Source organism: Homo sapiens, chromosome 2, assembly GCF_000001405.40.
Source record: "Homo sapiens chromosome 2, GRCh38.p14 Primary Assembly".
Lineage (NCBI taxonomy): Eukaryota > Metazoa > Chordata > Mammalia > Primates > Hominidae > Homo > Homo sapiens.
In genome coordinates, this window is record NC_000002.12 from 230,348,677 (window position 1) to 230,361,095 (window position 12,419).

A 12,419-nucleotide genomic window follows, 5' to 3' on the forward strand; every position below is an offset into this window, starting at 1 on the left:
TTTCTTAACAGTATACTTGAAACACAAAAGATTTCAGTTTTGTTAAATTTCAGCTTATCACTTTATTATTTTAAGGATCATGCTTTTGATGTTGTAGCTAACTCTTCATTTAACCTAAAGTCACAAAGATTTTTGTCTTTATTTTCTTACAAAAGTCCTGCCATTTTTGCTCTTTTAGAAGATTACTACATAATTTGGGGAACCCAGTGAAAAATAAAAATGGGGGATCCTTGCTCACAAGTTATTAAGGATTTCAGAACAGTGAAAGCAGAACACTAAACTAAGCACAGAGTCATTTGTGACTGCACAGGATGCATGCTCATGAAGCCAGCCCTGCTCTTACATTTAGATCCATGATCCATTTTTAGTTGATTCATGTATATGATGTGAGGTAAGAGTCTACATTTGTATTTTTGTGTGTATCTATGCAATTCTACTTGTAGTATTTGTTGAAAAGACTATCTTTTCCTCATTTAATTGCCTTGGCACTTTTGTTGAAAATCAATTGCTGAAACCACAAGGATTTTTTCTGCACTCTCATCTCTGTTTCACTGAATTATACCAGTACAATAACTGTCTTGATATGGGTAGCTTTATAATAAGTGTTGAAATAAGAAAGTATAAATCTTCCAACTTTTTTCTTCTTTTTATAGATTGTTTTGGCTATTCTGGGTTCTTGCAATTCCATATAAATTTTAGGATTAGCTTCTCAATTTCTTCAGAAAAGCCATTTGGAATTTTGATAGGAATCACATTGAGTTTATAGGTCAATTTGGAGAGAATTGCCAGGTTAAATATATTGAGTCTTCCAATCCATGAACATGGGTATCTCTATTTATTTAGATTGTTAATTTCTCTAGTAATGTTTTGTCATTTTCAGCATACAAGTCTTGCATTCTGTTTGTTCATTCCTAAATGTTTTATTATTTTGCCTACCTTTAATTTTGAATTTGAAAACTCAATTTTTACATTTCTAAGTTTACTAGTTGGTTGTTTTATAGAAACAATATCATTGAATAAGTTATGGGGGTACTAAATATACTTACTCTAGGCTGGGCACAGTGGCTCATGTCTGTAAACCCAGCACTTTGGGAGGCAGAGGTGGGCAGATCACTCGAGGTCAGGAGTTTGAGATCAACCTGGCCAACATGGCAAAACCCCGTCTCTACTAAAAGTACAAAAATTAGCCAGGAGTGGTAGCACATGCCTGTAATTCCAGCTACTAGGATGGCTGAGGCAGGAGAATTGCTTGAATCCAGGGGGCAGAGGTTGCAGTGAGCCGAGATCAAGCCACTGCACTCCAGCCTGGGGGACAGAGAGAGACTCCATCTCAAAAATAAAATAAAATAAATATACTTACTCTAAAGTCTTATTCTATTTGTTTATTATTTCTCTTTCCTCTGATGTTACCCAAAAAAATGGTAAAAAGAAAGATCTGAAGGGATCTGGTTAGAACCCTGAAACTGTCCACTAAGCCAGTGTTAACACCTGGGGTGTAGTCGTTTCATGCCTTCCCTATTATTTATTCTGAATTTTATATACAAATGAAAGACTTTTTTGTTTAATTTATATAAAAATGGGATCATAATGTATTAATCTGAACATGATGTTTTCATGGAACAGCAAAACTATTACCTTCAACCCAAATTGCTACAATTAAATAGCTATGTAATATTTCAACAGTGTACATTTATGATAATGCACTCAACCATTCTGCCAAATGGGCAATCAGGTTATTTTCAGGTTTAGAGGTATGTGTTATTGTGGAGTTGTTGTTGTTGTTGTTGTCGTTTTGCTACTAAAAACAATGCTTCAATAAATACTTCTGTATTTATGAGAATGTAGTCAACAAATACTTATTGAACACCTTGTGTATATCAGGTACTCAAGAAAAATCAATGGACAAAACAGATGCCACTGCCCTTATGGCATACATATTTTTGGGAGAAGAGAGACAATGAAGAAGATGATAAACAATAAACAAACAAATGTGTAATTTATTTAAGACGTTAGGGATTGACAAGAGCATGGAAAAAAGAGAGGCAGATGAGGGGATTGGGAGTATGGGGGCAGGATGGGGGATTGTGGTTGTGATTTTAGATAGGTTGGTCAAAGAAAATCTCATTGAGAAGGTAATAGTGAATCAAGGATCAAAAAGAGACAAGGAAATTAGTTCACTGCATAGATACATATATCTATGCTAGGCAGAAGAAACAGTCAATATCAATTCCCTAAGGCTAGAGTATGTCTGGTTAGTCAAGAAACAACAAATAGGTGAGTGTGACCAGGCAGAAGTGATCAAGGGGAGAGGAGAGAAGGTTGGATCATTACATTACCTTTGAACAGTGTAAGGATCTGGGTTTCACTCTTGAAGAAATGGAGAGCATTGAAAGTTCTGCAGTTCTTGTTTCTATAGGATACATGTTGATCTTTTTATTTATATAGGGTAGATTCCAAAAGCTGGATCTGCTGGGTCAGTCAGTCTGTAGTATATTTTAAAATTTAGCGGATGTTGCCAAATCTTTTCTGAAAAGGCTGCAGTAATTCATGCTCACACCAGCCATGAGTGTCTGTTTCTCTGAATCTTCTCCCACATGGCATAGTGTCACTAATGAAATTGTGTTTGCCAATCTAATGAGTGAGAAATGGTTTCTCATTGATGTTTTAGTTTTAACGTATTCATATGTGTATTGGACATTTTAATTTTCTTTTATTTAAGCTGCCTGTTCAGGTCCATGTTGGAGGGATTGTTTGTTATTTTTTATTAGCAGACTTTAGTCTTTGCCTATTAATATCAGGTATATTAACCCTTTGTCATACATATTGAGAATGTTTTTCTACACTGTCTTTTATATCTGTATTGCTTTTTAAGAACATTTAAATCGATTAAGAGAAATCTTCCTTTAACTATTCTCATCTCAAATTGTTCTTTATTGACTCATATATTCTGTCATTTCAATATTTACATTATTTTATCCAGGTTTTTTTTCGAGACGGAGTCTCACTGTCACCCAGCCCAGAGTGCAGTGGTGTGACCTCGGCTTACTATAACCCTGACCTCACCAGCTGAAGTGATCCTCCTGCCTCAGCCACTCAAGTAGTTAGATCTATAGGTGCACATCACCACATCTGGCTAATTTTTGTATTTTTTGTAGAGAGAGCCTTTTGTCATGTTACCCAGACTTGTCTTGAACTCCTGAACTCAAGTGATCCACCCGCGCCAGCGTCCCAGAGTGCTGGGACTACAGGCATTATCCACCACACTTGGGCTTTATTCAGTTTTAATGGGGTTTCTGGTTGCAAGCACACCATACTTACATAATAATTTCAGAAAAATTGATGTTTTAAAATTACTACTTTTTTTCTAATTGGGAGCATTTTATATATCTCCATTTATTTAGATCTTATTTAATTTCCTTCAATAAAATTTTTATAGTTCTTATACCTTTAAGATGTTTATAAATATATACATGTGTATTTGCTATTTAGTCTGAGTATTTTTTTTAACTTATGTCTTTCCAAATAAGAACTAGTAAGTTTTATATGTCTATTTTTTATTCATACTCCTTGGTGTATTAGTTCATTCTCATACTGCTACAAAGAACTACATGAGACAGGGTAATTTAAAAAGAAAAGAAGTTTAATTGACTCACAGTTCCACAACCTTAACAGGAATCATGACTAGGAGGTCTCAGGAAACTTAACAATTATGGTAGAGGGTGAAGGGAAGCAGGCACCTCTTCACAAATCAGAGCAAGAGAGAGGGAGTGAGAGACAGCAAAGAAAGAAATGTTACACTTTTAAATAATCAGATCTCATGAGAACTCACTATCATGAGAACAGTATGGGGGAATCCACCCGCATGATCCAATCACCTCCCACCAGGTCCCTTTCCAACACATGGGGATTACAATTTGCCATGAGATTTGGGTAGGGACACAGAGCCAAACCATATCATTTGGCAAATTAGTTTTCTACTTCTCATGAATTTTATTAGGTCTCTCTCTAGTTTTTCTATGTATATAATTATACAACATGTATTACTGTACCTTATTTTAGTATTTATACTAATTGCTTCATTTTCATAGCCTATCGCATTAGCTAAAGCTTCCAAAATATGCATATGTGTATGTGTGTATATATATATATATATTTGTATACACACATGCACACACACACATATATGTGTGTATATATGTATAATGGTGGTAATAGTAGACATTCCTATATTGTTTTCTATTTAAATGACTTCACCATTCATGTTTATCATAACATTTGCTGATTTTAGAGAGTTCATGTTATGTTAGTTTTATTTCATATAGAGTTTTTATTTTAAAAATAGCTGTTAGGACTTATCAAATTCCCTTTTAAAATCATTTGTGAATATATTTAAATACTTCTCCTTTTATTTATCAATGTAAAATTACAGAGAGATTTTATAATGTTGAACTATTTTTTCTCTTATTCAATCTCATTGCCATTACCTTTCTCTTTCTTTCTATTTCTAAATAGCCTGTAACTACAAGTTTTATTTTATCTTTAACCCAACACAGTGTGTTTTGTTTTGCTTTCTAAAATCTTAAGAAATTTATTTTCCTTATGCAATATGTTTCATTTCTATTGATTGTAACTTTTTGAGACTTCTTTCGTGGCCAAGATTATGCTAAATATTGATAATGTGTTCTCTGTTTTTAAGTCACAAGATTAAATAATAAATCATTCTTATTAATTTATCTAGAACCTGTATATTTTGTCCATTTTTGGTATATGGAAAGAGTAAAAAAACTAAGGGTGAATTGTTTTGCAATGCCCATAAAACATTTGTCCTATTATTTGTTTCTTGAATTTTGAATTGACATTAATGGGAAATGTTCTGCTTTTTGTTTTATTTAAAGTTGCATACCATAAATTGCCTATTTTTGATTTCAATATATTTTGTGTCACTGCATCTTTAGTTGGATTCTATCTTTGATTCCAATTAGTATCAATATCATCAATATTGACGATACCTTCGATATCACTAATATTACCTTTCAGGATCATTTCTTCATGTATATTCAGTGTTATAATTTTTCAACCTTTTTTCTGTTTTACCTTTTATAATTCATTGTTTTTCTTGTTTTATTTCTCTAAAAATGCAAACTATGTTTGCTCTTTATTTTTATTTTCAGAGTTTCATAGGTTTTATAAGATCTGATTTCACTCAATCAGTAGTTACCTTCAACTTTTCAAATTCATTGTTTAATCTGTATTTCTGTAATTGTTACAGTTGAATCTGAAACCATATTGTTCCACCATATCATTTTCATACTTGAAACAAATTCCTTAACTCAGTTTTTCTTCACCAACCCTGCTCAAAATTTTAAGTTTGTTGATATAATTTGAAGCTTTAATTCAAATAGTTACCATTTGGAATTTCCCCCCATTTCCCATAATATTTCTGTTTCTCCTGGGGTAACTTTTTCCTCTTTTTCCTTACACTAGTCTTTCTTTCTAATATTGAAGTATTTCCTCAAATGTCTATTGATCTGTGGTTATTTGTTTCTACATAAGAGAAGACTTTGGAAATCAATCAATGTGATTCACCAATTAAAAAATAAAGAAGGAAAATCATATGAATATCTCATTAATGCATTTGATAAAATTTAACATCTGTTCATGATAAAATTCCCAGCATATTAGGAATAGATAGGAACTCAGCAAATTAGAAATAGATAGGTAGGAAAGTCATATGACTACCTTGGTAGATGCGTTTGATAAAATTAGTAGTTCATGATAAAATTCTCAGCAAGTTAGAAATAGGTAGGAATGCAAAGCACAGTGGCTAACAGCTGTGATCCCAATTCTTTGGGAGGCCAAGGTGGGAGGATCACTTGAAGCCAGGAGTTCAAGACCAGCATAGGCCACAAAGCAAGACTCTATCTCTACAAAATATAAAAATAAAATAAAAAATTAGCTGGGCATGGTGACATCTGTAGTCCTAGCTATTCAGGAAGCTGAGTTGGGGGGTATTACTTGAGCCCAGGAGCTTGAGGCTGCCATGAACTATGATTGTGCTACTGCACTCCAGCCTGGAAAACAGAGTAAAACCTTCAAAGAAAGAAGGGGTGGGGGCGGGGGAAGAGAGAGAGAGAGAAAGAAAAAGAAAGAAAGAGACAAGAAAGAAAGAAAGGAAAGAAAGAAAGAAAGAAAGAAAGAAAGAAAGAAAGAAAGAAAGAAAGGAAAGAGAAAGAAGAAAGAAAAAGAAAGAAAAAAGAAAAAGAAAAAGAAAGAAAGAGAAAGAAAGGGAAAGAGGTAAGAATATGTATAAAGGTCTAACAGACATCACACTTAGTGATATTGCTAGTTGCTTTTTCCCTAAAATTGGAAATAAGACAAGGAAGTTGTCTCTCACTTCTTCTCTTCAACATCGTATTTAAACTCCTGACCAGCGAAATAAGATCCAAAAAAAGGAAATAATTGTTATTTTGGGGAAAGAAACAGTGAATCCGTCTTTATTTGCTGATGACATATTTATTTTCTTTAAAATATAAAGGAAATCTATAAATACTTTACTAGAACTAATACATGAATTTAGCAATGCCATAAATACATGGTTAATAGTTTTCAAACCAATCATATCTCCTACAATGGCAATAAGGAATTTGAAAAGCAGTATCCTTTAAAGTAGCACCAGAGAGAATAAAATAACTAGAAATAAATTTAATGAAAGATGTGCTTGATTTTTAAAATTAATCTAAATAAGTGGAGAAGCAAACGATGCTAACAGATTGCAAGCTCAATATTGTTGTCAGCTCCCCCAAATTTATCTATAGTTTCAAATCAAACCCAAGAAAAATCCAAAAGGCTTTTCTCATAGAAATTGACAAATTGATTTGAAAAGATATGTGGAAAATCAAAGAATCTAGAAAGTCCAAGACAATCTTTTCTAATTGACTTCAAGACTTTCTTTAAGCCATGGTATTCAACACAAAATCATATCAGCATAAGGATAGACAAACAGATCAATGGTATGGCATAGAAAGTACAGATATAAACCCATGTTCATATTGTAAATTGCTTTTTGAATATTTTCGTGACCTTGGAGTGGCAAATTCTTCTTAGTACACTAAAGTCATTAATTATAAAAGAAAAAATAATAAATTGGACTTCATCAAAATTAAAGATTTTTTCCTATCAAAAGACATAATTAAGAAAATAAAAGGGAAGCTACAGACTGGGTGAAAATATTTACAATACATAAATCAGACAAAACACTTCTATCCATAATCTGTAAAAGGACTCCTACCTGTCAATAAATAAAATAAAATTCTATAATATAAATGGGTCAAACATTTGAACAGACACTTCACCAAAAAATAAATAAATTGCCAGTAAACACATGAAAACATGCTTGACATAATTTCCTGATTAAAGAAATACAAATTAAAACTAAAATTAGCTATCACATCGTACACACTGGAATGGCTAAAACTAGAAAGGCCATCACTGGTAGTCTTTGCAAAAACAGTTTGGCAGGTTTTAAAATGGTTAAATGTACTCTTACACAATGACCCAGTAATTCCATTCCCACATATTTACCCAAGAGAAATGAAAGCATTTTGCCACAAAAAGACTTGCACAAGAACAGCAGTTTTATTCATACTAGTCTCAAACTGAATCCACTCCAATGTCCATCAAGAGAAAAATGAGTACGCAGACTGTGGTAGATTCACACAATGGAATACCACTCAACAACAAAAATGAACAAACTAACTGTTCAACACAGCAACATAGATGATAAGCAAAAGAAGCCAGACACAAAAGCATGTATATGTTTTGCTCATTTATATGAAATCCAAGAGCAGGCAGTATTAACATCTGACAGAATAAATGACAGCAATGGTTGCCCCCTGAGAGGCTGCCTGGCTGCATGTGTTCAGTATGCAGGTTCACAGGCAGTATATGCATTGCTCTGTTCATTTTTCAAATAACAAATCAGTTTTTAGCTGTGTGTCTCCCTTCAAATCTCCACTGTTTCTTCCGAATTCTGTAGGGCACCACGATTGCTTTCCTAACCTCTAGGAGCATCCCCTACCTACTATTGCAACTAGCACTTTTCTGACCACTTTTTGTCTTCAAGGTTTTATTTGAAATCTCTTATGTGCTCATTGTCCTCCACCATTCTCTTTGTCACTGTAAATCTAATTCCTTTATTATCATTTTAATGAACTTTAACCAGAAACTTTTTTTTACAGGAATTCAAAACAATAATGCGACATTGTTTCCTGCTTTATGTTGTGTACTGGGAAGTGCCAATAATTCTCTTCTGGTTGGATAAAAAGAGCTCCCAAGTTTTCATAACATTTAGGAATACTGAGATGTTGATTAAAACATTATCAGAGCAATAACATGATCAACTAAGAACTAGAATTAGAGACTCAGCTTTAAAATTGCTTTAAAAGGAAACGGCAGCGATTTCTGAAATTCAGATGCCTAAAATGATTAACTGTATATAGCAATAGTATGGACAGATTTATATTAACACAAAGCAGAACCAGATGTTCCAGGAGATATCACTGATATTCTCATGAAATTCTCAATAATGTGGTATTATTATCATTATTAAACCACATTGTATTATTTATGAATTAATTTTATGATATATGATGGTATTTCCTTCCTAGCAGCTACAGATTAGAGAAGGACATCTTATTTTTATTTTGTCAAATTCTCTCAGTTGTTGATTAAGCTGCATTTTCAAGGTTAGATTTTTATTTATATTCCATTGACTTTCATTTCTCTGTGGATGACCTGCTTACTCCATCTAGATTCTGTAGGAATTCAATATTTTTATTTTGAAAAATATTCCAGATATGGTTAGGTGAAGATATCTTTACAATGACTTTGTTCAGTTTAGACTGGGCTTTTTCAGTGCCCTCTATATTAGTCTTGCATAGGCTCCATGATATCTTCTATTACATTTTTGTTTGTTGCTTCAATTCCATTTATTCTGGGCTCTACTGAGGACCACCTATTTTATATATGTTGGTTCTTCATAGCTTATCCGTTATACATAAAATCTTACCATCTCCACAAACATCTCAGAATCTTGATGACCATTTTCATTTGGTGTCCTTTTTCCTTAGGCTGTTCACGGAAGACCAGGATGTAGATGAGGGACTTGTCTATGACACTGTATTCAAGCACTTCAAAAGACATAAGCTGGAGATATCAAATGCAATAAAAAAGACATTTCCATTCCTTGAGGGCCTCCGCGATCGGGAACTCATCACAAATAAAATGTTTGAAGTAAGTAAAGTTTATTTCACAACCTGGCAGATATGCTTTCATATTTTACAAGTATTTCTGTAAGTGCTCCTGTAAAGTAGAAAAGGAGAGGAGAAGCAGAGGTCACCAGAGATGGTCCTACTTCCAGCTGAGGAAATGGTGTTCCATGGCACCCTCTGGAGTTGGGGTGAATGGTACTGGAGAAACTGGAACGGAAACAGCTGTTCTCCATAAATGTACAATGTTTTGTAGAATTCATACACTATAACATAAACTAAAATTTAAAAATAATTTTAATGAATTGATTTACTGAAATCATAATTGACAGAGCATTTTATTTCAATTAACATCAATTTAAAATACCTAGATCTGAGAACATTAAAACCCACAGGGAATTGGTGTCTAGAGAGGACAAATTTGGAAGTAGATGCTTGTTATTCTTTCTCCAACACATTTGTTTTCTTGTCTTTCCTTTTTTTGTGCATTTCTGGAGTCTTGGAATATGAGTAAATTCCACCCATAGGCCCTGTTGGAGATACAGAACAGCGAGTCATCTCTGGCTATGAATATGCTTCCTCTGTGGCCAAGTTCACAGCAAGGGGAGAATGGTCACCTAGTTTCTTTGAGCCCTTCAGGCCAAATCAGTCTTGGGGGAAGAGCAGGGGTTGCCCAGCCAACAAAACAGCCACTCATTGATTGCCTGCTACATCTATCCCAAAAATGTATCAATCAGGCTCTTAAAGAACTTTGAGCCCACTTTTATCCTTCAAAGTTGCTCCTTTTTACATCTAATGTAAATGAGGGTGAAGCAATCAGGCTCATCAGTGGGTATTTTTAAGGAGATGGGATTTACTTCTTTCATTACTGGCTATACAAATATGTAAAAATTATAAAACTTTACATGAGAAGATACCTCTGAAGAGAAATTGAAATTCAGTAACCATAAAATTTGTTTTTATGGCTCTTCTGTAACTTGAAAGTCTGTATTTGTATTTTCTCCATTCAATATTTTTAAAGGATTCTGAAGATTCTTGTAGAAACCTGGTCCCTGTACAAAGAGTGGTGTACAATGTTCTCAGTGAACTGGAGAAGACATTTAACCTGTCAGTTTTGGAAGCACTGTTCAGCGAGGTCAACATGCAGGAATACCCCGATTTAATTCACATTTATAAAAGCTTCAAAAATGGTAATTAGGTTTATTATCTACCTTTTGATTTCCGGGGCCAATTTTTTTCAATAAGCATATGTTTGAGCTCCTACCATGTGCGATACATTGTGTTGGGCAGTGGGCATAGAGTAGTTAACAAAATAGACGTGTCATGAGTCTTCTTGAAGCCCATGGTATATGGCTATGGCAAAACAAACATCTGGAGGTCTGCTTCACTGGCCACTTAGACTCACAGGACAACCAGAGCCACACTGGCATCAGATTTACTTAGAAGATAAGAAACACAGAACACCAACGGGGCAGCATCAGTTGTTTCTTCTCTTTAGTGGGAGTTTTTGCAGTGACCTACACAGCAGTCCACTAAATTGACTACTACCTGCCTTGAGTGACAGTTTAGCTGTGGGTGCAGGATCCACTTTGGCATAACACCACATATCTGTGGGAGTCAATATCTCTTGTAACAACCCCATAGTCATAGCTTTCAGGGTGCCACAGGGACAATCTGAGTTATAAGAGTTATCAGTTGAAGGAAGACCACAATTATTCTTTCCCTACAGGTATTTATAGTTCATGTATAGTTTCAGGCAAACAGTCATGGGTCATTTCTAAGCCCAGAGTTTGCCCAGTAAAACCAGGAAAATGCTACCTTTATTAGGTTTCTAGAATAATGAACAAGAAAATTAACCCTGGGTCAAGTTTGCCTTTAGTGAAGGATAAATAGTTTTGTTAACCCTTTACCCACAAGGGATAAAAGAAACATTAATCAAATAATCACAAAACTGATTGCTCGGACAGGGACTATACCAAATTAAAGTTTGGTATTGGTGCTATACCAAACTAAAGTTTGGTATTGGTGCTATACCAAACTAAAGTTTTGATTCTTGACTTTTTTCCTGAGAAGGCATAATTTATACTATTATAATGGTACACAGTAAAGAAGGTGCCCTCTATTTTGTTTTACTTGCCTGGAAAACTTTTATTCTCCTCACAGTTTGATCTCAACCCAGTTCTCCAAATAAGAGATAGAGACATCACAAGAAAAACAGGGACATGCCCTGAAGAGGGTGGATGCTATGGGGACTGGAAAGAGTAAAAGCATGTCTGCAAAACAGGACAAACTGGATTTGGCTAAATCACAGAGTGAGAAGCAGTATAGGAGCTGACTTAAGAGAGATCAATTGGAGGAAGATGGTGAACGGTCTGGAATTGAAAGCTAAGGAATTTGAAGTTTATTTACTAGGCAATAAAGAAATACTACAGGTTTATAAACAAGGAAAAAAGTTTAGGCAGCTATATATGTTTTGGCTTATTGATTTGTGTTAATACTAACAATATCTAGATTAAAAATAAAATAATTTTTGTAACAAGTCATTCAAGTCAGAAAGTGAATAAAAGGAAATCACATATCTGGGCACAAATTTCGAGTCAATGTTATGTTTGTAAGCAGGATGGTCCAGGCTGCGGGGATGAAGGGAATAGTGTTACATTTACTGCCCACATTCTCAGGGGCTCTGTTCCTCTGCATGGACTGCAGGGATTCCCTTCCTAGCCCCAGTGCCCACAACTCACATGTTAGTTTCTGGCACTCCTTATGCTTGGGTGACCTGCACTGAGGCTCACTGTCACCTGCCTGGGGCAGCACTGCCCACCGCCCCACCCAGCACAGCAGCCTACCCACCTTCAGGGAGATGCTGAAGTCCACACAGGCTGCCCCTGTGTCCTCTGTTATGTTTATCTGGGAACTGTTCATCCTCCCTGACCCAATTAAGCCAACGTTCTCCTGTTTTCTAGCCTCATCTTTAAAGCTGTTTGGGTTTTCTCTTTTAGTTTTTATTTAGGCATGTTTTTGGAGATAGGGTCTCACTCTGTTGCCCAGGTTAGATGGCAGGCTAGTGAGCTATCTCTGCTCACTACAACCTTGACTTCCTGGACTCAAGCAGTTCTCCCGCTTCAGCCTTCTGAGTAGCTGGGACCACAGGTG

At 34.9% G+C, this 12,419-nt stretch overlaps 1 protein-coding gene across 21 annotated transcripts in view; it reads left to right on the forward strand.

Annotated features, from left to right (window-relative positions):
* The window catches only part of SP140L (SP140 nuclear body protein like), a 76,540-nt gene that overhangs the window by 21,484 nt on the left and 42,637 nt on the right, over positions 1-12,419 (forward strand). For all 21 annotated transcript variants that reach the window (NR_148198.2, XM_047446412.1, XM_047446413.1 and 18 more), the window contains 2 exons: positions 9,129-9,291; positions 10,288-10,456. Coding sequence is in view for 20 of the 21 variants with exons in the window: in XM_047446412.1 (XP_047302368.1) it covers positions 9,129-9,291; positions 10,288-10,456 (332 nt within the window). In the remaining variant the exon portion in view is untranslated. The remainder of the gene's footprint in view (positions 1-9,128; positions 9,292-10,287; positions 10,457-12,419) is intronic.